At 41.0% G+C, this 25,440-nt stretch overlaps 1 protein-coding gene across 5 annotated transcripts in view; it reads right to left on the bottom strand.

The window, feature by feature from the left end:
- The window catches only part of NLN (neurolysin), a 107,079-nt gene that overhangs the window by 18,113 nt on the left and 63,526 nt on the right, over positions 1-25,440 (bottom strand). For 3 of the 5 annotated variants that reach the window (NM_020726.5, XM_047417444.1, XM_047417443.1), the window contains exons 7-11: positions 25,261-25,396; positions 22,687-23,053; positions 18,516-18,717; positions 1,470-1,656; positions 1,006-1,134 (exon numbers count right to left, since the gene is read on the bottom strand). In NM_020726.5, coding sequence (NP_065777.1) covers positions 1,006-1,134; positions 1,470-1,656; positions 18,516-18,717; positions 22,687-23,053; positions 25,261-25,396 — 1,021 coding nt within the window. Of the gene's footprint in view, positions 1-1,005; positions 1,135-1,469; positions 1,657-13,477; positions 13,579-18,515; positions 18,718-22,686; positions 23,054-25,260; positions 25,397-25,440 lie in introns of those variants that run through there. The other 2 variants (XM_005248559.4, XM_047417445.1) reach the window with 2 other exon arrangements.

Genomic DNA, 25,440 nt, shown 5'->3' with positions numbered 1-25,440 from the left:
CACCTTACCAACTACATATAAAAGCACAACTATATATTGGCTTAAAACATACACATACAAATATAAACACGCCCATGCATGAGTCCCATAAATCTCAGATTACAAACTGCTAGTCAAATGCTTTAACTGATCTCAGAATCAGAAACAAGGTGAAGTTCATGCTTCTCCCCCCAAATACCCTTTATTTTTTTTGAGACAGGGTCTCACTGTGTCACCCAGGCTGGAGTGCAGTGGTGCAATCATGGCTCGCTGCAGGCTTAACCTCCCCAGGCTCAGGTGATCCTCTCAACTCAGCCCCCTGGGTAGCTAGGACTGTAGGTATACACCACCACACCTGGCTAATTTTTGTATTTTGGTAGAGACGGGTTTTGCCATGTTGCCTAGGCTGGTCTCGAACTCCCGAGCTCAAGTGATCTTCCTGCCTCAGCCTCCCAAAGTGCTGGGATTACAGGTGTGAGCCACCATGCCAGGCCTGAAAATGCTCCTTCTTGATAGCATAACAGGATGACTATAGTCAATAATAATTTAATTGTACATTTAAAAATAACTAAAAGAGTGCAAGTGGACTGTATGTAACACAAAGGATAAATGCTTGAGGGGATGGAAAAAATAAACAAAATACTATATGTAAAGGAAAAAAAACTTAAAAAGTTCCCCTTCTGCCAATTTCTTCCTGAAAATCACAGGGAAGTCATGATGCATACAGGGAGGGAGGAGCTGAGAGTGTGCTGCCAACACGAATGGCTCTCCCAGCTCTGGGGCGGAGGCCAACTGCTCATGCCTGATTACACTAAAATGCTGCAGATCTGGAGCCACCTTTCCTTCAAGCGCATTTGGACGGGATAACTCATAAGGACATAGTATGCTTATCTGAAAGTCATGGCCTGATTACAGAAATCAGAAACAATTAGGTAATCTGTCTGACAAACTCCATCTCCCCTGCAGTGTTAGGAGAACGCCCTGTGCTTCACAGAGAAATGAACTCAATTCATAGTAGTTACATACCTGGAGTAGCTGCAACTCCTAATATTTCTGAGCAGTATTTGGCATATTCACTTGCAGCATCCAGCGATGTGTTGGTATGAAGAGACTGATCAACTTTGCTCAAAACAATCTGGCGCAGGGTCAGAAGACCTAATAACATAAGAATGTTTGGGCATGTTTTGAAGAAGACAGAACTGTGTGTTTTATTATCACAAGATTGTAGATTCCAAAAACAGATTCCAGTAGTACTCACAAAATGGGAGCAGGACATCTCATTCTACTTAAGATTTAAAAGGAGATGTGGTTTTTTGCCTCAGACAAAATTCCGGGGTTTCCTATTCCAATATATTTAATGTTCTTCACTCCTCATGCTAGCACGGTTGGGATACCACTTAAAATGAAAATAAGTTCTACAGAAGAAGGTGACAGCAATTCTACATTAAGAGATTCTAATTTATTTTCCTTTTTAAAATTAGAAGTCATACCTGTGTTGACCAGCCTAGAAGCAACAAGTTTTTCAAGCAGATCGTCTGCAATAGGGCTTCCATCTTTATAATGTTTTGACAATCTTCGGAGGGAATCGACGTCCCACACCCAATTTTCAAGCATTTGCGATGGCACCTCTACAAAGTCAGTTTCCACATTTGTTCCGCTAAATCGTGCAAAATCAGTCTAGAAAGCAAACACAGAGAATTTTTTTAAAGAACTCAATGAAAGTACATATGCAATGAATAATTATTAAGAGTCACGAAAACTTAAGGCAGAATCAGACTCAACTGTTCCTCTGAATGAGGGGTTAGAATAACCTCATAGTCAAGTGAAAATAAAACACAGCAGCTGAACAGTGTGAAAAACAACCCCCAAATACTCTATATTACAGTAGTAATTTCATTCCTTTGAATTGTAGACAAAGTTGGAACAATCATCAGAAAACCAGAACTGAAAAATACAATCAGTCTAAGCTAAAAACAAGCCTTAAGCTTTGAAAGCAGAAGTATTTTTAAAGAATTTTCCATTAAAAATGAAGAGATCCATTAAACAAGCAATTTCTCCCTAGCTCCTCCTTCCAATTGCTTACTTTTGTTTACTCAATCCATGCCTTTCTGGGGCACTCATCACTCTATTGCTTAGGTCTCAATCCATGCCTTTCTGGGGCACTCATCACTCTATTGCTTAGGTCTTAACTACTTAGGTCTTAACCAAAATTAATTAAAGAGTTAAATCACAACATTATAGACTTTGAGTGTGCGATGCTTTGCATTTTAAACTTTAAATGAGTGGTTCTAAGATTACCATGTTGTAGAAAGTCAGATTTCTACCTCTCAGATTGGGTAGACAATGTTACCTTAAAATAAGAAGCTGCTTTAGTAGGAGTTAGGTTTGTAAATTAATTGGCAAGTGGAGTGAGTTATATGCTATAGGAAAAGAGAAACAACGGATGTATTCAAAAGTTGGAGCACTCCTGGTAAAAACAAACGACCTATTCTGAAGGCCTGAGCTAAGAGTTAAAAAAACAAAAGAGGTTTAAAAAGAGTTTAATGAAACCAAGTTTAGTAAATTCTTGAGTCAGACGTCAGAAAAGCTCTCAAGTAGAAAAACAGAGATTCACTAAAACAGGCTAGTGTTTTTTTAACCTTCACACAGTCCTTCAAACACTTGTAAAACTGCCATTGGCAGAGAAGACAGCATTTATCCTACTGGGTCATCTGCAGAATGGGGCTCCTCATTCCGTTGTCTTTCACTGAACCTCTGTCCTGTTTTTCTCCTCTGATGCATTACATTCCATCCTTCTCTCCCTGACTTCATCATCCCTGGGGCTCCACACGGAGGGGAAAGGGAAGAGGGATGTAACCACCAGAGAAGGCAGCAGATGGGGTGCCGAATCAGCAGCAAATACCCACTCTGCTTTTTGGCCCAGGGCAGAGGCACAGATGTCAACGCCATCTCACATTCTGCCTTCCTCTCTTTATGCAAAAAAATGTTTTGCTTGATTTCTCATTATAATTGTGCCGATTCTAGATATGAAGAGATGCAAATATTAAAGGGGCAAGGATAACTAAATTCACTAGTTGTGGAATTAAGCCACCTCTATTGAGGACATCCCAATAAAAAAAATCTTGCAGGGAAAGAGGTAAGGGTCCCCAGAAATTGAATATTTTATCTCATTATGGTATATGATAGTGTAAGATTACATCTTATATCATAAATAAAACAATCTTATACAATAATAATAGCTAACATCTGTTGAGACTTTCCTATGTTAGGCATTACAGGCATACCTTACAGATATTGTGGGTTTAGTTCCAGACCACTGCAATGAAGTGAATATCACAATAAAGTAAGCCACACAAACTTTTTGATTTCCCAGTGCAGATGAAAGTCTATAAATTTACATTATACTCTAGTCTATTAACTGTTCAAAAGAATTGTCTAAAAAACAATGTACATGGCTGGTGCGGTGACTCACGCCTGTAATCCCAGCACTCTGGGAGGCGGAGGTGGGTGGATCACCTGAGGTCAGGAGTTCGAGCCAGCCTGGCCAACATGATGAAACTCTGTCTCTACTAAAAATACAAAAATTAGCCAGGCATGGTGGCGGGCACCTGTAATCCCAGCTACTCAGGAGGCTGAGGCAGGAGAATTGCTTGAACTTGGGAGGTGGAGGTTGCAGTGAGCCAAGATAGCACCAGTGCATTCCAGCCTGGGCAACAGAGTGAGACTCTGTCTCAAAAAAAGAAAAAAAAAAAATCAAAACCAAAAACACCCACAAAGACAATGTATACACCTTATATGTTAAAAAATGCTAATGATCATCTGAGCCTTTGGCAAGCTATAATCTTTTTTGCTGGTGGAGGGTCTTGCCTCCATCAATGTTGATGGCTGCTGACTGATCATGGTGGTAGTTATAATCAGGGTGCTAACTGATCAGGGTGTAATTATGGAAGGTTGGCATGGCTGTGGCAATTTCCTTCTTCCTTTTTTTCTTTTCTTTCTTTCTTTTTTTTTTTTTGAGACAGGGTCTTGCTCTGTTGCCCAGGTTGGAGTGCAGTGGTATGATCTCAGCTCACTGTAACCTCTGCCTCCCGGGTTCAAGCGATCCTCCCGCCTTACCTTCCCTAGTAGCTGGGACTACAGGTGGGCACCATCATGCCCGGCTACTTTTTGTATTTTTAGTAGAGATGGGGTTTCACCATGTTGGCCAGGCTGGTCTCAAACTCCTGACCGCAGGTGATCCACCCACCTCGGCCTCCCAGAGTGCTGGGATTACAGGTGGGAGCCAACGCAGCCAGCCGCTATTTCTTAAAATAAGACAAAGATGCAGTTTGCCATATCAATGGACTGAATCTTCCTTTCATGAAAGATTTCTTGGTAGCATGCGATGCTGTTAGATAGCATTTCACCCACAACAGAATGTCTTTCAAAATTGGAGTCAATTATCTCAATACCTGCCACTGCTCTACCAACTAAGTTTATGTAATATTCTAAAATCCTTCGTGGTCAGTCATTTCAACGATATTCATAGCATCTTCACCAGGAGTAGATTGCATATAAAGAAGTCACTTCTGTTGCTCATCCTTAAGAAGCAACTCCTCATCTCTTTAAGTTTTATCATGAGATTGCAGCAATTCAGTCACATCTTCAGGCTCCACTTCTAATTTTAGTTGTCCTGCTGTTTCTACCATATCTGCAGCTCCTTCCTCCACTGAGGTCTTGAACCCCTTCCTCAAAGTCATCTATGAGGGTTGAAATCAATTTCTTACAAATTTCTGTTAATGTTGATATTTTGATCTCTTCCCATGAATCATGCATGTTCTTAATGGCATTTGGAATGGTGAATCCTTTCCAGAAGGTTGTCAATGTACTTTGCCAAGATCCCTCAGAGAAATTACTATATATGGCAGCTGTAGTCTTATGAAATGTATTTCTCATAATAATAAGACTTGAAAGTTGAAATTACTCCTCGATCCATGGACAGCAGAATGGCTGTTGTGTTAGCAGGCATGAAAACAACATAATCTTCTGGAACATCTCCATCCAAGCTCTTGTCTGACCAGGTGCTTTGTCAAGGAGTGGTAATATTTTGAAAGGAATCTTTTTTTTTTGAGTAGTAGATCTCAACAGTGGCTTAAAATAGTCAGTAAACCATGCTGTAAACAGATGTGTTGTCATCCAGGCTTTGTTGTTTCATTTATAGGGCACAGGCAGAGTGGATTCAGCATAATTCTTAAGGGCTCTAGAATTTTCAGAATGGTAAATAAGCATTGGCTTCAACTTCAAGTCACCAGCTGCATTAACTCCTAAGAGGAGAGTCAGCCTGTCCCTTGAAGCTTTCAAGCCAGGCATTGACATCTCTCTAGCATTCCTGAAAGTCCTAGACGGCATCTTCTACCAATAGAAGGCTATTTCATCTACATGGAAGATCTGTCATTTAGTGTAGCCACATTCATCAATGATCTTAACTAGATCTTCTGGATAACTTGCCACAGCTTCTAAATCAGCAATTGCTGCTTCACCTTGCACTTTTATGTTATGGAAACAGCTTCTTTCTTTAAAACTCATGAACCAACCTCTGCTACCTTCCAACTTTTCTTCTGCAGCTTCCTCACTTCTCTCAGCTTCATAGAATGGGAGTTAGGGTCTTGCTCTGGATTAGACTTTGTCTTAAGGGAATGTTGTAGCTGGTTTCATCTTCTACCCAGACCACTAAAACTTTCTCCACTCAGCAACAAGTCTATTTTGCTTTCTTATTATTTGTGTGTTCATTGGAGTAGCACTTGTAATAACTTTCAGGAACTTTTTCCTTTGTTTCATAACTTGACTGACTGGCACAAGAGGCCTATCTCATCTTTTGACATGCCTCCCTCGTGAAGTTTGATCATTTCTAGCTTTTGATTTAAAGCAAAAGACTTATGACTCTTCCTTTCACTTGAACACTTACAGATCATTGTAGGGTTATTGACTAATCTAATTTCAACATTGTTGAGTCTCAGATAGGAGGCCAAAAGAGGGGGTGAGAAATGGGAAATGGCCGGTGGAGCAGTCAGTATACATATAACATTCATCAATTAAGTTCACTCTCTTATAAAGAGCATGATTTGTGTTGCCTCAAAACAATTGCAATAGTAATATCAAAGATTGCTGGTCACAATAACAGATATAAAAATAATGGAAAAGTCTGAAATACTGTGAGAATTACAAAAATGTGACATAGAGACATGAAGGGAGCACATTCTGTTGGAAAAATTGCACTGACAGACTTGCCTGGGCAACATGGCAAGACCCTGTCTCTATTTCATAAAAAAGGAAATCACTGATCACAGATCACCATAACAGACACAATAACAATGAAAAAATTGTCCGGGTGTGGTAGCTCACATCTGTAATCCCAGAACTTCAGAAGGCCGAGGTAGGCAGATCATTTGAGGCCAGGAGATCAAGATCAGCTTGGCCCACACGGTGAACCCATGTCTACTAAAAATACAAAAAAAAATTAGCTGGGTGTGGTGGTATGTGCCTGTAATCCCAGCTACTTAGGAGGCTGAGACAGGAGATTGCTTGAACCCAGGAGGTGGAGGTTGCAGTGAGCTGAGACTGCACCACTGGACTCCAACCTGAGCAACAGGGTGTGACTCCATCAAAAACAAAGAAAAAAGTGAAATATTGTGAGAATCCCAAAACGTGAACAGAGACAAGAAGTAAGCACATGCTGTTGGAAAAACAGCACTAACACACTTGTTTAAAGCATGGTTGACATAAACCTTCAATTTGTAAAAAACAAAATATCTGTGAAGTACAATAAGTGAAGGACAATAAAATGAGGTGTGCTCATATCATGGGCTCTTTACATGGATTATCTGATTTAAATCCCAAAATAATTGTATGAAGTAACTATTATCTCCCTTTTTGAGATAAGGAAACTAAAGCATACAGAGATTAATGATGTAACTTCAATTTGAAACCAGGCAGTCTGACTTCATAACCCACAATCTTAACCACAAATGCTAACTGTCTCCGTATCTTAGAGTAAAATGGAAAAAAAAGGTTAAATGATATTACAAAATGACTAAATCCTCTTGGATGGGATCTAAAATACAAAAGTCTTATATCAAACCCTCCTTTATGTGAAGAGTTAAAGTGAGTTTTCAGTGTGCTTCCTTAGAAATTTGACTTCTTCTTTATACTGGAAGATTTTTCAAAGATCAAACATGAAGCTGAAGTGTAAAGACCAGCCTTTGTAACCATCTATCCTGAACTTGCGATTCTGCAATACTACTGATGGCAGTGGTGGCCCATCTCGGCTGCAGTGGGGGAAGCGTGGCTGGGGCTGTGCGCTCCATGGAGCTGGCAGGAGCCAGGAACAGGCAGAAAAGTCCTTCCCCCTTCTAAGTTGGCAGGGCAAGAGCCTCACCCTCCTGGGCATAGCTGCAGCTGCCCAAGCTGTGGCTGCTGACCCAGGTATGCCTGTGCTCTTGGGGGCCAGGAGCAGGCAGGAGCCCTACCCTCCTGGGCACAGCTGCGGTTTCCTAAGCCATAGATGCAGACCTGGGCATCCCTGTACTCTTAGGGGCTGGAAGAAGGCAGGAGCCCCACCCTCCTGGGTGTAGCTACAGCTACCCAGCCATGGCTGCGGACCCAGGCATCTCTGTACTCTCAGGGGCCCCGGAAGCTCCCCCAACCCATTAGCGGCACCTGCTCTGATCTTGGAGCAAAGCTGAGGTCAATCCCAGGCACTGTCACAACCTGGCCAGGTGTCCATATGCTCAGGACAGCACTGACATGCCAGCCCCTTGCTGCCTCAGCCCCTACTGAACTTTGGGCACTGACGAGCATGGGAGGGAAGCTGAGGGGGGAACTGAGCGTGGCTTGGCACTGGCCTGCAGGTGCCCCTCTGCATGAACAGCCTGGGCACCATAAACAGTGGTAGCAGGCAGACAGGTTCCTGGGCAGAAAGGGGTGGGTCCCTGGTGAAGCCCCACCTTCAAGCCAGGGAAGGCCTGAAGCCTGGGGGCCAGGCTGCCAGTCCTGCAGACCAGAGTGGGAACTTATGGTGCTTTTGCCAGGCCCACCCATAAGCCAATCAGCCTGCACGTTCTCCCCTCTGAAGCCCATAAAAACACTGGACTCAGCCAGACTTGAGCTGATGTCAGGACAACCAGCTGCAGAGAGGAGCTACCCACTCCAGGGTCTCCTCTCTGCTGACAGCTGAGCAGACATCGGGACGATCAGCTGTAAAGAGGAGCTACATATCCCAGGGTCTCCTCTATACTGAAAGTTGAAAAGATGGTGGGACAAACCAGCTGCGGAGAGGAACTACCCACCCCAGGGTCTCTTCTCTGCTGAGAGCTGAACCCTCTACAGGATGACCTACCTGTGGAGAGGAGCTATCCACTCCAGGGTCTACTCTCTGCTGATAGCTGAACACTCACATTGGTACACCCTGGTTGTGGAGAGGAGCTACCCATTGTGCGTCTCCTCTAAGCTGTTCTATTGCTCAGTAAAGCTCCTCTTTGCCTTGCTCACCCTCCACTTGTTCGTATACCTCCTTCTTCCTGGGCACGGGACAGGAACTCGGGACCTGCCGAATGGTGGGGCCTAAAGGGCTATAACACAAACAGGGCTGAAACATGCCCCTTGCTCGCCATGCTGTGGGCAACAAGGAGAGAAGAGTTGTGGCCCTTCAGGGAACCCAGACCTAGGAGCTCCCTGAGCTAGGGCTGTGATACCTTCTTTGGGGCTATGTGGTTCCCAGCGTCTCTAAGCTTCTGGGTGCCACTGTGTTCCCCAGTGCCAGCTGTGAAAGCTGCTTGTGGTACGCCTGGTCCGGCTGCAGCCTTGCAGGCAGCCTTGCCTCCAGCGCCTGTGCTGGCACCTGGAGCTGCTTGCACCGCCATAGCCAGCATGCCTGGCTGTGTGCAGTGGCTGGACCCCATGCTTGCTCACTCATGCACCCCTTGCCACTCCACTTGCCCTTGGCAGGCATGGGATCCAGGCCAGTAGTGCGAGCTGAGTGCAGCCTGCCAGGCTGAGTGGGCCCAGTGGGCCCAAGCAAAACCTGGGCAAAGGTACCACTGGTCACAGAGGTTTCTGGCTGGTGATGCGACACCCCAAGGATCCCGTGACACTACTGCACAATTTTCTCAAGGTGATGGTTTTTAAATAGGTACTAACAGCAAATAAAGGCCAAATCACACCATCAGCCACCACCATATGATATACTGACAAAAATACAGACTTTGTATATCCTGCTTGTATGAAGATTTTTCAGTCATTAGTTGCATATGAGGGAGGAAGTCAACCCCAAATGACAACAAAAATGTGTGTATGTGTGTTTGTGTGTGTAGGGGAGGATTCAATATCCAGAAAAAAAATACACAAATGATAATTCATGAGCTAGAGTAAAAACTGAATAAAATAAGAACACAGTTAATGTCATGCAGAGTAGAGAAGAGAGCGCTTATTCTATTCAAAAGCCATTTTGTAGCTGGGGAGACAGCACAGCAAATGAATGAAAGATCAACAATGTCTTCTAAAGAACAAAAGGAAATGTTTGTAAGGAGAAAAAGCTAAAAATAACCCTAGTGCTTACTAATTTCCCGAAAGTTGGTCATGCTGTTTCTCTGTGAGCCCTTTGGGCAACATCATTTAAATATTTTTCAAAAAAGGAGGACAAAGAACCTACAAAATTTGAAAGCTCAATTTGCAGCAAACAACCGAATTCTCAAGAGAAAGGAATGCAGTCAGCCACTGTGTATGTCCACACAGAAACCATGGGTAAGACTCACAATCTAGCAGCCTAATGGATCTTATACAAAACAGCATGGGTGCTGAACCATTACTCACTGTTGACCAGCCAACAAATACCATTCCCCAGTTTTTAAACTATAATCCAAAGAACCCTAAAAAAGTACTTCATATAGTTATCAATGCAAACAATTTGAAGGTGTTGGTAATAGTTGCTTATGGGCCATGATAACTATTGATGCTAATGTATTTCCCAGATAAAGCAGTAAAAAACACACAAAATAATCCAATTAACAAATATTTTTTGTAGCTGACACTTCAAAGAGTTTTAGGGCATTTTTTTTGCTGCAGGAAATATTTAGATAACAAAAGCCTAGAAAACAATGTAAACTTAGATTCCTGTTTGGTTAGAAGTTCTTGAGAGGAAGACAGTTGTCTAAATACACGATTTTGGCCAGGCACAGTGGCTCATGCCTGTAATTCCAGCACTTTGAGACGTAGAAGCAGGAGAATTGATTGAGCTCAGGAGTTCAAGATCAGCCTGGGCAACATTGTGAAACCCCATCTCTACAAAAACTATAAAAAAATTAGCTGGGCATGGTGGTGCATTCCTGTAGTCTCAGCTACTCAGGAGTCTGAGATGGGAGGATCGCTTGAGCCTGGAAGGTGGAGGCTGAGGCTGCAGTGAGCCATGATCATGCCACTGCACTCCAGCCTGGGCAACAGAGTGAGACCCTGCCTCAAAATAAATAAATAAATAAATAAATAAATAAATAAATAAGAGAGTTTTCTTCACTATCCAAGCTAGAGTGCAGTGGCAGAATCTCAGCTCACTGCAAGCTCCGCCTCCTGGGTTCACGCCATTCTCCTGCCTCCCGAGTAGCTGGGGCTACAGGCGCCCGCCACCATGTCCAGCTAATTTTTTGTATTTTTAGTAGAGATGGGGTTTCACCGTGTTAGCCAGGATGGTCTCGATCTCCTGACCTCGTGATCTGCCCGCCTCTGCCTCCCAAAGTGCTGGGATTATAGGCATGAGCCACCATGCCTGGCTGTCTTTACTATCTTTTAAACAAACAATAGGATGTCTAAAATGTACTCTGTTTCAGATTTTTACAACAGATAACTTGATGCTATAGAGATTAACTTTGCAATTCCTACAGTGCAATAAGAACAGGAACAGAATCATATAAATTGAAGCTTCGGAAGTCCTATGAGCTTCTGCTGTATTTAAAGGCCTAAATCTTACATGTGACTGTTCTAATTAAGAGAACAGTTGCTTTTAATGGCTACAACTAAGTGTTATTTCCATGATAGCAAATCCCAACTCAAAGAAAAGGCAGTTGCTGAAATCAATAAGTGTATTGTGCTCATGAAAAAGGACAGGCCTCAGGAGACCTGACATTGGCTGTCTGAGGTGATCCAGTACTGATTTCTTAGCAGTCATTCCACATCCTGGCCTGTCTAATCTATCCCTAAATCCAGGGATGATGGAGAAGTTTATATAACAAGGCAAGGTATTTTTTTTTTAAAGTGACCACTATCTACTAGACTTTGCCATAAACAGATGATTAAAAGGCCATAGTTTTAACTTCACACATACCGAGTGATCACTGGAAATAATAGTAATAAAGATAATGTGTTGACATCCTTCTTTATCTTCACAACTGCCCTATAGTTCAACAGTTCAGTATCACCATCATCCTTTAAAGGACCCAGGAAATAACATAATTTGGAGAAGTTTTGAATACTGCATATTAAGTTCACAGGCTTGCTCCCAAACTAGCTGTACCTTCCTGATCAGGTACATCTTATTTAAACTGCTTCTTTTTAAGATGAAAACAAATAAAGGTACTATTCAAACTCAAATGCTAGAGAGTATGCTTTATTCACCACTGTATTTCCAAAATCCAGCACAGAAAGTAGAGGATGTCCAATAAATATCTGTGAAATGGATGAAGCCCTGGGGAGAATATTTCTGTATGAAGATTCAAACTTAAACAACTCAAAGATATTTTCCCTTGTTATCATTCTTGACCTCAACCTCTCACCTCTCTACTTTTTTTCAATACTTAAAATTCTACTTTTATTATTTTACTTAATATTATGCTTTTAATTTTTTATTTGTTGCACTTCATGTCCTCAAGCTAAATTCTGAACATTCAAGATACTATAACTTTTCTTTCTTTTGAACCCCATCCTACCATAGGTAATATGACATGTCAGACACATAGTCAATAATTCTGTTTCTTAAAATAACTATATAGGCTGGGCATGGTGGCTCACACCTGTAATCCCAGCATTTTGGGAGGCTGACTTGGGCAGATTGCTTGAGCCCAGGAATTCAAGATCAGCCTGGGCAACATGGTGAAACCCTATCTCTACAAAAAATACAAAAATTACCCTGGTGTAGTGGTACATGCCTGTGGTCCCAGCTACTTAGGAAGCTGAGGTGGGAGGATCAACTGAGCCTGGAGAGGTGGAGGCTACAGTGAGCCATGATTGTGCCACTGCACTCCAGCCTGAGTGACAGAGTGAGACCCTGTCTCCAAAAACAAACAAACAAAAAACTAAACATCCCTCTCTTTAAAAAATATTTTGATTTTTAAAAAATAATACATGTAGAAAATGCACTAAGCAAATGAAAGAAATAAGCACATTCCCAAATAAACATTATGCATTAATACATTCATATTTTGGTTTATGACTTCATTTATTTTATTTACACATGTATGTATTGTTTATATATGTATAAGCAAACAAATAAAATAACAAAAAGAAGATCTTGAAAGAAATTACATCTGATGTTAAAGTCACAAACTAAAACAGTGTGCAGGAGTTGGGGCTAGGGAGACAGGGTGACAGCAGAGGCCACAAAGCTGATGATAGGGAGTTCACTGCATTTTAGGACTGAAACCTCAACAGTCAACTCACACAGAGGGAAACCTAGAAATAAATAAATGCATTCATTCCACATTTGCATTCATTCTACATTATTAGAGTGTCATTTAATAAACTTAGGAGAAGGAAGCCCATCCAACACATTTGGAAGACCAAATTCAGACCATGAATAATAGTATTGTCTCCAGTGCATGGAATGGGAGCGCAAATACGCAATAAAGTAGAGCAGTTAGGTCATGACTATTGGACCCTGGGCAGGTCCTTCTATGTCTCAGATTTTTCATTTGGAAAATGGGGACAATAACAGTACCCATCTACTTCAGAGCGTACTGTGAAGATAAAAATGAATGAATGTAAAGCAGTGTGTATATTTCCTGGCACCTGGTACATGTTCAGTAAGTCTCAGCTGCCTATCTTCTTCTGAGCCTGCATATTCTGCCTGACTAGGTATGGTCTTGGCTGGTCTAACCTTGTCTTTCGCTTGTCTTTCGCTTCCTGGGGGTTAATACTGGAGATAAACATACCCACATTGCTCTTCAGCTAATCCTCCATCACTCCCAATACTCCAAGCTGCTCTTTCTGTTACTGTTTCAGGTATCAAATTCTAAGTAGGCAGCAATCATGAAAACAAAACAGAACCAAATACAAACGTGAGGGTTTCCAATCACCTTCCACAGATCTTCACTCAAAACCCACTGAAGGTAAGCATTTGTGAATTCTGTTGAACCTCAAGTGGCAGTAAATTGTCTCAGGGCAGATGGTCTTTTTTACCCCCTTTCTAGTTTTGAGTTGTATATTGATCTCAAAAGAGTTGAATTATACATAAGCATAGTTTCAAGAATACTTCACGTACATATGGCTCCTTATGCTTTTCCAAATGCCTTTTCACATATGCTTGGTTTAATTCTCCCAATCGTCCAGGGAAGTACATAGAATTGCTGTTGTCCCCATTTTCTGAATAAGAAAAATGAGATGGTTCAAAGAGTTTAAATAACTGTCCCCAAGTCATACAGCCAGGTCCACAGATACACAAATGATGTTTGATCCAGTGCTCTTGTCATAACACCAGGGTGCCTTCCTGACTAATACAGGGTACATTTATCTACAGCAGAATCTAATCCAAATATTTAGAGCAGACAAGCTGCTTTATTTATTAGTTTTTAACCAAATTAATGATTTCATGTCACACAATTTGAAGTTCTTCTGCCCATCCCTTTCACGTTTAATTAAGAAGGCTTTAGTGTAATTCTTATGTGTTTCCTTAGAATAACGACATCTTTACAGTTCAAAATTCATCACCGCTCTTAATGTACAACACAACACAGACATCACAATGGAGGCTAAGAGGCATTACTATTCTACAGAAGTTCAAAGGCTAGTGATTACTGACAGCTCAAACCACAATAAAGCCATGCAACAGGAACAGATACTACAGATATCACCTCTTGATTGCTATCTTCAAAATTACCTACCTACCCTGTAAACGTAATACGAGTGAAACTCACGTCCTGAATGAAGAGATAGCAGACATATTGAACTAGTGCATCTACATGTTTGAAAACGGGATGTTCTTGCCAACATGTTTAAATATTACGATGACAAGCTCAAACGAGCCCTTCTAGTCATGAAACCTGCCAACTGCCACAGTGGAGAGCTCAAACACTGAGCTGCCATTTCTTAAAACCAATGTACTGAATACATATGGCAAATTTTTAATTCACTATATGTTTCTTAGGTAAGCTGGAAGTATTAGTGAACATAGAAGTTGTCAATCTCTGTTTTCACTATCATCCATTTTAGGTCAGTACAAAAGGCTTTGAAATTATAAATTTGCAAATATATGGATCGGTGCCTATGAAAAACAAAAGTAGTGATCACTTGTGATGACCTTAAAAGTTCTTAAAATATTACAGGCTATCTGAAAGGATTAATAGACAAGAAGAGATTTTTCAAAGATAATCTCATGAAGATATGACCAAGTAAAGAATTGTACCAACACATTATTCATCAGTATGACACATTTGTGCTCATGGATGAGGTTAGGCAAAACTTTAAGAACTGAATATGTCTACTGTTTCAAGAGAGAAACACTAAGCTGGTGAATGCAATATATATATTAATAGTTCAGTCACGAGTCAGACAGCTCTAAAATGTCAGAGTACCAAGAAAAGATCTTTCTAGTACTAAAGTGACTATCTCAAAAGATCACAATTAATGTAAGAAATAATGGGAACAATGGAATGAGTTGTGGAGAACTGATGGAATACATGGTAAGCATATGATAATAAGTTGATAAGAGGACTGTGCCTGAAAAACGAACATGCATCAAGAGCACTGAAAACCCTATTTGAAGATCACTATTATCTTAATAAATGTGATTAAAAGACCAAAATGCTTCCTTGTGAAATCATCAAATAAGAAGGAAACTGCTATAACTCAGGAGTTCTTAACTTGAGATTCATTATGGTGAGGGCTTCGAGGGGTCTGTGAGCCTTTTGGAATTTCATGCATATTTGTAGGTGTATTTTTCTACAAGAGGTACCCACAGCATAAATCAGATTTTCATAGGGTCCTCAGATCCAAAAATGTGAGCATCCACTATTTTAAAAGCAGGTCATTATTAATCTATGTACAAACATATAACTGGATTTTGGATAATATAAGTAATATACCATAAGTCTAAAATTAAGAAAAATATTTTTGACTTCTAAATTACAAAAAATTTTTTTAAATGTAAACTGGAGTTATCCTAATTAAAGGAAATGTCAACCACAGTGTGGACATTGATAGAAGGTCCACACGATAAATATTTCAGGAATCCTAGTGCTATGATAATAGACTTTATTTATTTATTTATTTTGAGACAGAGTCTCACTCTGTCACCCTGGCTGGAGTGCAGTGGCACGATCTTGGTTCACTGCAGTTTCTGCCTCCTGGGTTCAAGCGATTCTCCTGCCTCAGCCTCCTGAGTAGCTGGGATTACAGGCATGTGCCACTATGCCCGGCTAATTTTTGTATTTTTAGTTGAGATGGGGTTTTGCCATGTTGGCCAGGCTAGTCTCGAACTCCTGCCCTCAGGTGACCCACTTGCCTGGGCCTCGCAAAGTGCTTGGATTACAGGTGTGAGCCACCATGCCTGGCCTATCTTATTTATTTTTTGAGACAGGCTCTGGCCCTATTGCCCAGGCTGGAGTGCAATGGCACACTCTCAGCTCACTGCAACTTCCACCTTCCAGGCTCAAACCATCCTCCCCCTTCAGCCTCCCAAAGTGCTGGGGTTATGGGTGTGAGCTGCCATGCCTAGCCTTGCAAAGCCTAGCCACACTACCGCACCCAGCTAATTTTTTTTATTTTTGGTAGAGATGGGTTTTCACCATGTTGCCCAGCCTGGTCTTGAACCCCTAGGGTCAAAGCAATCCTCCTGCCTCGGCCTCCCAAAGTGCTGGGATTACAGGCATGAACCACCACGCCCAGTCAGTGCTATGAAAATGAATTTTAAAAACACCTAAGAAAGAAAGATTATTCTGAAAGATTTATTTTCCTTGGATTAAAGAGAGATTAAAAATGGCCATATCAGGACATTTCTCTGGACATACTCATATACTATTCCCCTCTGTTTTTTAAAACAAAAGATGGAAGCACCAGGTTAAAGATAAAATGTTGAAAGAACCAGTTTTTAAACAAAGGTGACAGAATTATTTTGGAAATGAATGGGTACATTTTGGGTTATTACAATGATTAGGGCTACTCTGGGATATAGGGATGCTGGATGCACAGGACTGATTCTGCACATGTCAGGACAACAAAAAGACTGTTCCATATCCTGCTCGTCATTCATACCCCCTGCTGGACTATTCACATAAATCAAAAAAACTAGCTGTAACTAAACCGAGAAACTAACCCCACTGTACATATTTTTGCAAAGCATTTTTTTTTTCTTTTGAGACCGGGTCTCACTTTTTCACCCAGGCTGGAGAGCAGTGGCGCGATCACAGCTCACCGCAGCCTCGACCTCCTGGGCTCAGGCAATCCTCCTGCCTCAGCCTTCTGAGTAGCTGGGACTACAGGTGTGTGTCATCATACCTGGCTAATTTTTGTATCTTTTGTAGAGACTGGGTTTCACAATGTTGCTGGTCTTGAACTCCTGAGCTCAGGCGATCTGCCGCCCTTGGCCTCCCAAAGTGCTGGGGTTGTGGGTGTGAGCTGCCATGCCTAGCCTTGCGAAGCATTTTTTACACCATTTTAATTTCTAAGACTACAAGTACTAGGATCTACTGTGTAAGTTGAAGTGAGATTACTTTCTTTTGAAGTTTCCCAGGAGGTGTTCATCATTTTGGAACCTCATGCCACCATTGTCAGCACTGTTCTAGGACCTGAGCTGACAACATAAACCACTTCCATCAGTTTGCACTTGCTGCTGCTCCATTCAGGGTTACTTCCATACAGTGCAAACCTCCAGCATACTTCATTATGTCTTACTGCATAGTCATATCCAAGCATTATCACTTGAAAAATACAAAAATTTCTTCTATTTATATTCAGTGAGGACACCGTATGGATTTAAGAAGATTCTCTGTATAAAGACCATTAAGGAAAACTAGTAAAATCCAAATAAACTGTGGTGTTCAGTCTGGAGTACTGTATCAATGCTGGCTTCTTAGCTATGACAAATGTGCTATTGGAATGGAAGATGTTACAAGTAGGGGTGAGAGGCTGAGGGGTATACAGGCAATCCTTATATCATCTTTGCAAGTTTTCTATGAATCTAAAAGTATCCTAATAAAAATGTTTTTGTTTTTGTTGTTGTTGTTTTTTAAGTCTACCTTTAGAGACATACAGAGATTTCAAATTTGGAAAACTGTACCTTCATTTCTGTTACTATCAGTTTTTTGGGTGGTTTTCTTTTTTTTTTTTTTAAGTCAAGGTCTGCTCTGTCACCCAGGCTGTGGTGCAGTGGCACAATCATGGCTCACTACAACCTCAACCTCCTGAACTCAAGTGATCCTCCCACCTCAGCCTCCCGAGTAGCTGGGACCACAGGCACATACCACCATGCCTGGATAATTTTTGTTTGTTTTACCACGTTGCCCAGGCTGTTCTCAAACTCCTAGACTCAAGCGATCCTTCCACCTTGGCCTCCCAAAGTGCTGGGATTACAGGCATGAGCCACCATGCCCAGCCAAATAACAGTATATTTCAACTATTACGGTGAATTGCTGAACTAGACATTTTCATATGTTAATAATGGTTAAATGTTAGCAAGTTCATATGGTTCATGCTAGAATAGTCTGGGCCTAATTAAATGGACTGTATTACAAAGTTGAGAATAAATGTACTTTTTATTTTCAGAAATAAAAAAATCAGTTTTAATCTACTGCACACATACACCTCCACTCTGGCAAATTCTTTGCATGGTTAGACTATATTATCTATGATTTTAATTTGAAGTTAGTAAAGGCAAATGTTACAAAATTATTATTTAAAAATGAGTAAAGGGTCTAAGAGGATTGAAAAACCACTAAAGTAAACAAAGCATTGATAAGCAGAAGAGACAGATTACAGCACAGTTTTTCTGAGAAATTTATATCAAATTCCTAAAGGATTAAAAGGAAAAAGCAAAGTATTTGTAACCTTTCCTTACAGATAGTCTTATTCTTTTTCCATAGGCTGTTATTCAACAAACATCTTTCACTGGTAGATGAACCTCCAAGTAAAAATATGTTGTGAAAGAGGACAGGATAAGGAAAATTTTGGTTTTGCAGAAGGCCTATAAAATTCTTGAACACATTCAGCTTCTGAAAAAACCTGTTAGGAGCAGAAACCTGACAGCAGTCAAGAAGTTTTCTAAAAAAACTAATTGGCAGGTTTACTGGGGGAAAAAAAAAACTCACCTGTGCACAAATCTGATGCATCACGTGACCAAACTCATGAAAGTAAGTCCTCACCTCGTCGTGTCTCAGGAGAGAGGGACGACCTGCCACTGGCTGTGAGAAGTTCACCACGAGGGCAGCCACTGCCATCATCCGGCTTCCATCAGGCAGAAGGCAGCCAGGCTGGAGACCGAAGCAGGCCGCATGATTGTATTTTCCTTCCCTAGGAGCCAGAAACACGCGTTGGCAACATAGGAAAATTCTCCTCTAGCAACTACACTGGCATGGCCTCTTCCAGTCATTAAGCCATATCTGTTACCAGAGATGCCTTTAAACATTAATTTACCTTTTAGAAAGTAGGTTATTTTGCTAAAATGGAAAAACTAAAGCTAAACAAACAATAACCCCACTAACATTCTGTGTGAGCTCCGAAGTTTCTTTTATTGAAAAATCTCGAGGTAAGAATGAAGAATGCATGTCACACCGACAGCTGAATGTCCAATTTATTTTAATGAGGTTCTACTTTTCTTTTTCAAAGATGGGATTACTAAACACTAAACAATGCTGAAACCCACATTTGAAATAAAAGATACAGTTTGACTCACTAGGCAGCCTTTTCATTAAAATCGGAATAAAAAACTGAATTTCTGACGATAAGGTTTTTCCTTTTATTTGAGGAGGAAAGAATCAGTAATCACAATTAAATAAGCTTCTTTTATAAACTAGACAGGCCTTTTTGAAACAGAATGCTTTTAGTTAGCCTGGGAAAATGCATAAATTATACTATCAATTAGACTATTCTTGTACAGTGTCGTATCTGTGTGGTCTTTCCAAAAGCTATTAGACTTCATTCTCCAAAAGCTATCAGACTTCATTTTGGGAGTACGTGTCCTTTCCCCCTTTTCTTTTGCTCAGAAGACTAATAGTACCTGGTCTTTTTATTTTTTTTTTTTTGAGACAGAGTCTTGCTCTGTCATCCAGGCTGGAGTGCAGTGGCATGATCTCAGCTCACTGCAACCTCTGCCTCCCAGGTTCAAGCAATTCTCCTGCCTCTGCCTCCTGAGTAGCTGGTATTACATATATACAACACCACGCTGGTTAATTTTGTTCTCTTGTTTTGAGACGGAGTCTTGCTCTGTTGCCCAGGCTGGGGTGCGGTGGCAAGATACTGGCTAACTATAATGTCCACCTCCTGGGTTCAAATGATTCTCCTGCCTCAGCCTCTAGAGTAGCTGGGACTACAAGTGCCTGCCACCACACCCAGCTAATTTTTGTATTTTTAGTAGAGATGGGGTTTTCCCACGTTGGCCAAGCTGGTCTCAAACTCCTGACCTCAGGTGATCTGCCCTCCTTGGCCTCCCAAAGTGCTGGGACTATAGGTGTGAGTCACTGTGCACAGCCTAATTTTTGTATTTTTACTAGAGATGGGGTTTCACCATGTTGACCAAGCTGGTCTTGAACTCCTGGCCTCAAGTGATCCACCTGCCTCAGCCTCCCAAAGTGCTGGGATTACAGCCACTGCACCCAGACAGTACCTGGTCTTTTTAAAACCTATTCTGAATACCCTTTTTAAAAGTCAGTTAGACAAATAAAACAAGTTAATCCCTTTTACCTTTATGAAGAGAACATCTTAAGATGACAGGAAGTAAGTATTAACTAGGTCACTACTTTCACAAAGATTACTCTCTGTTACCCACACCAGGGTGCTGGTAGCAATGACCAGATCTCTCAGTACAAAAGAAATTAATTATATCCTGGCAGTGAGACAGCAGAATGAGGTAGCAAGAATTGTTATTTGACGCTGGAAAGAAAATCTGAGGACAGTTATAGGAGACTCCAATATTAAAGGATTACTCCTGAAAGAGTTCTTCGGTTAAAACTATATCCTGATACTTTTTATTTAAAAATAAGACTCATCTATATTTGGCAGGGTTTTACTTTTAGGTCATAATATTAGTGAAAGTAAGTCCATAAAGCAGCAGGTGATGTGATTTGGCTGTGTCTCCACCCAAAGCTTATCTTGAATTGTAGTTCTCATAATCCCCACGTGTCGTGGGAGGGACCCAGTGGGAAGTAATTGATTCATGGGGTAGCCAGTCTCATGATAGTGAGTGAGTTCTCACAAGAGCTGATGGTTTCATAAGGGGCTTTCCCCTGTTGGCTTGGCACTTCCCCTTCCTGCCGCCACGTGAAGAAGGATGTGTTTGTTTCCCCTTCTGCCATGATTGTAAGTTTCCTGAGGTCTCCCCAGCCCTGCAGAACTGTAAGTCAATTAAACTTCTTTCCTTTATAAATTACCCAGTCTCAGTCAGTTCTTTACAGCACTGTGAGAAAGGACTAATACACCAGGATAATCACTTAGGTGCTAAAAGACACTTCTGCCCACCAACTAGATGACACAGTTACTCAACCTACTTTTCAGCACTCAAAGTCAGTGGATTACAAACTTGTGTGTATTACTGAATGAGGGGGATACTATACTCTCCTTTGATCTATTTAAATGATTAGTAATTGTAAGAGGTTGACTTTGCTTTAGAAAGTAGCCTGGGGAGAAAGAGATCCAAATCCTTTTGTATCTGATGAAACACTATGGAATCTATAGTTATTACATGCTATAGACACAATTATAACATTTTTATAATTGTTACCACTGATATCTGGGGAAGATGATTTGCACATATAGTCTTTAATGCATAAAACAATCCTGTAAAAGGATTTCCAGTCCCATATTACAGAGGAAGAAACAGAATCTCAAAGAGGTTATGTCACTCAAGCATTCAAACTCAAATCTGACTGACTGCAAAGGTTTTGCTACTTCTACTAAACTGTGCTGCCTCTCAGCCAGACTGAAGGGAGTGGCCATAGATTATTGGCAGACAGATTATCTAATAAATATTTTGGTGCTCAATTTTATTTATTTATGTTTTTTGAGTTAGAATCTTGCTCTGTCGCCCTGGCTGGAGTATAGTGGCGTGATCTCAGTTCCAGGGTTCAAGCTATTCTCATACCTTGGCCTCCCAAGTAGCTGAGACTACAGATGCCTGTTAAATTTTTGTATTTTTAGTAGAGACAGGGTTTCACCATATTGGCCAGGCTGATCTTGAACTCCCGACCTCAAGTGATCTGCCCACCTCAGCCTTCCAAAATGCTGGGATTACAGGTGTGAGCCACCATGTCTGGGTGGTGGTCAATATTCAATTAAGTAAATGTAGTGCACAAACTAGATGATGATGATAATGACAATGGTAGCAGCTAACTCTGATTAAGCCTTTGCTATGTGCTGAGCAGTCTTCTAAATGCTTTGCATGTATTCAACCAATTTAATCCTTACAGTGACCATACAAAGCAGGTACTACTAATATTCCCAGTTTATAGGACCTATAATATAGGTAAGAAAACTGGGGCACAGAAAAATTAAGTAACCTACCTAGTAAATGATGATGCCAGACATTCTGGCTTCAGACCCACATTTTAAATCTGTATACTAAGAAGCCCATGTGAGAAATATGGAAGAGTAGAGTCTTTTTTTAAATTAATTTTTTTAGAGATAGGGTCTAGCTCTGTCACCTAGGCTAGAATGCAGCAGTGTGATAATAGCTCACTGTAACCTTAAACTCCTGGACTCAAGTGATCCTCCTGCTTCAGCACAGCTAGGACTACAGGTGTGCACACCACACCTGGCTAATTTTTCATTTTTTTTTTTTTGAGACAGGGTCTCACTCTGTCACCCAGGCTGGAGTGCAGTGTTGCAATCTTGGCTCACTGCAGCCTCCACCTCTGAGGCTCAAGTGATCCTCCCACCTCAGCCTCTCAAGTACCTGGGACTATAGGCATGTACCACTACACCTGGCTAATTTTTGTATTTTTTGTAGCAACAGAGTTTTGCCATGTTGCCCAGTCTGGTCTTGAAGTCCTAGACTCAAGCAATCCACCTGCCTCGGCCTCCCAAAGTGCTGGGACTACAGGCATGAGCCACCACACTTGACCTAATTTTTAAATTTTTTGTAGAGACAGGGCCTCACTATGTTGCCCAGGCTGGTCTCGAACTCCTAGCCTCAAGCAATCCTCCCACCTTGGCCTCCCAAAGTGTTGGGATTACAGGCATGAGCCACTGTGCCTGGCCAAGAGTAGAGTCTTAAAGTAGGCATAGCTGAATCCCTAAGGTCCCTTCCAACAACGTGATCCTCAGTACCTTGGATAGAGGTCCAAATAGAACTGTCCCAATACTTCTCCTGTAGCTTTATCCTTCACAGTATAAAGTGTAACACTCTTGTTCCAAACATGAGCATCTGTCATTTGTTCAAATGAAAGTCCCAACAACTCCTGGTAGGTGTTCAGCAAGCCTTCAGTGACCACCTCAATTGGGAAGTATTCCTTGAGGAACTCTTGGTCTATGGAATACTTGAGTTCCTCTGTCTGAGTCATGTAGTAATATAGATCCCAGGCATTGATTTTCCCATCATATTCAAAACCCCTGTCTTTGCATTCCTTTTTCTTCAAATTCAAAATAAACTCTCGTTCTGCTTCACCCAAGGGTTTTAACTTCTGGCTTAAATCATCTGTAAGGAAAAGGAAAAGTTAGTGATCTACTTGCTTTTGGAAGCAAGCATACTCATAAATACCACCTGTGTTTTAGCATGGTGCTTCCTCCTTTGCAGTACTCAATACAGATAAATAAGGCGGAAAGAGGTAAAGGAGGAGGAAAAACGTGAGGGAGGAAAGCAGGCTGTATTATGGAAGCACACTTTGCTCTTCGGGGTTATTGATTTTATGGTCCTAGCCCCTTTTTCTTTTAACACCCCCAGAACTGGGCCATGAGTTCCTCAATTCATCACCAAAGCTCAAGTTTATCTCAGAGAACGCTGACTGAAGAATGTTATTCAGGGAAAAAAGCACTAGTGAAACTAAAGTCATGTACATGATTATTCTTCAATGAAGACAGTCAGACTCCTAAGAAAGCTAGGGAAAACACATCAGATGTGACCTGTGGTCAATGTTATCTAGAAATTCCTATCACTGGGTTTAGTTTCTCATTACCCCATTTCTGTGAAGGTTTATCTGGACACAGCAATTCCAGTTTTTAGCTGGAGAAACTTCTGAGAACCACAAATTATATTGCTGTGGTCAATTTTTCACTTTACTGTATTTGGATAAATGAGTATGGTCTTATGTATTTATTTTTTACATTTTGTTACATACGTTACGATAAAAACATGCCTGGCTCTGCAAAGGACATGGCAGTTCAGAAGGCAACCTCACAATGTGAGAGATGGAGGAGCAGCCCGAGGAATACCGTGAAGAGAAGTGAGGAAACTCATGGAGGATACAAAGATATAGTTTTCCATATATATATCCATGTGCATGTGTGCGTGCATGTGTCTGTGTGTGCGCATGTATGTATACACACACACACACACACACATACATATATATATATATAAAGAGAGAGAGAGAGAGTGAGTGAGTTTTGCTATGTTGCCCAGGCTGGACTCCAACTCTCAGATTCAAGGGATCCTCGCACTTTAGCCTCTCAAGAGGACACTTTGCATAGGAATATGCCAATCTCAAATTAGAAGGAAAACTCCTTTAAATGAATTAAGTTAATCAGGTGGTTACTAAGGAAAATTTTAGTGTATGCAATCACCACTGAAGGAAACATTCTTTACAAACCTGTTAACTCTCTGAGCCATCCTCTTGTATACCATGCATCAGACTGTAGAGTAATTACCTGTTCACACTTCTGTTGTTTCTAGTAAGTGACAAATCCATTGAGAAAAAGACCTTGTCTCTTTTTAAAAAATTATTTTTATTTTTAGAGACAGGATTTTGCTCTGTCACCCAGGCTGGAGCACAGTGGCATGATCATGGCTCACTGCAGCCTTGAACTCCTGGGCTCAAGGGATCCTCCCACCTCAGCCTCCCAAGTAGCTAGAATTACAGGCATGTGCTACCATGCCTGGCTAATTTTTAAATTTTTCTGTAGAGACAGGGTTGGGGTCTCTTTGTTTCCCAAGCTGGTCTTGGACTCTGGGTCTCAAGTAGTCCTCTCACCTCGGCCTCCCGAAGTGCTGGGATTACAGGCATGAACTGCCATGCCCAGCCAAAAGGACCTTGTTTTACTCCTTTCTGTAATCCTACTATTTAGCATACTGCCTAAGGCTGAATAGTTATTTCATAAACGTCTCATGAATGAATGAGTGAATTATACAAAAACAAATATGTACCATTTATGGAGTTTAACATTATAGTTACTAGATAACAGTTTTTATACATATTATTTTATATTAGTTATTAGATACTAGTTTTATGTATATTATTTTATATTAGTTTTGTATATTAACAAGTGGTTTCTGGAATATTAAATGTTTTTTGTTTATGTATGTTTTATTTTTATGTACGTCATATTTGTCAGCTTATTTTATACAAATTCATAAGCAGCCATGCTATGACTACTAAATCCCTAGTGAAGAGAATAAAGCCAGTAACTTTAGTAACTCTCTGTTAGAACCTACATGTCATGTTAGGAATTAGTATAAAAAGCCTAAAGAAGATATAAGATACAGTGAAGCCAGGCCTATACTAGCAATATAAACAATAAGCAGTCCCTACAACCAAGCACACTATCTAACACTTAATAGGTGATCAATATACTTCTCTCAAATGAAGGAAAAGTAGGATGTCCTCAAAGGCATATTATGTTCTGAGGCCTTCTGTCTGGTTGACATGGTATAGCAAAACAGTCATAGAAAAAAAAAAAAGAACTAACCTAGAAAGGCTGTTACGCGGCTTGTGCTCTTTGCAGTGTTCATTTCAAGGACGAAGTCAGCATGTGTGCTATAACCGAGTAGTTTGGCCACCTTGGTTCGCAGTGGGAGTAGCTGCTGCAAAATTATGGTGTTTTCCTAGTAATAAACAACAGCAACAAAATAAAGGCTAATCAATAATT

The sequence above is a fragment of the Homo sapiens genome, chromosome 5 (genome assembly GCF_000001405.40).
Source record: "Homo sapiens chromosome 5, GRCh38.p14 Primary Assembly".
Classification (NCBI taxonomy): domain Eukaryota; kingdom Metazoa; phylum Chordata; class Mammalia; order Primates; family Hominidae; genus Homo; species Homo sapiens.
This window is presented reverse-complemented; position numbering and strand designations above follow the sequence as displayed.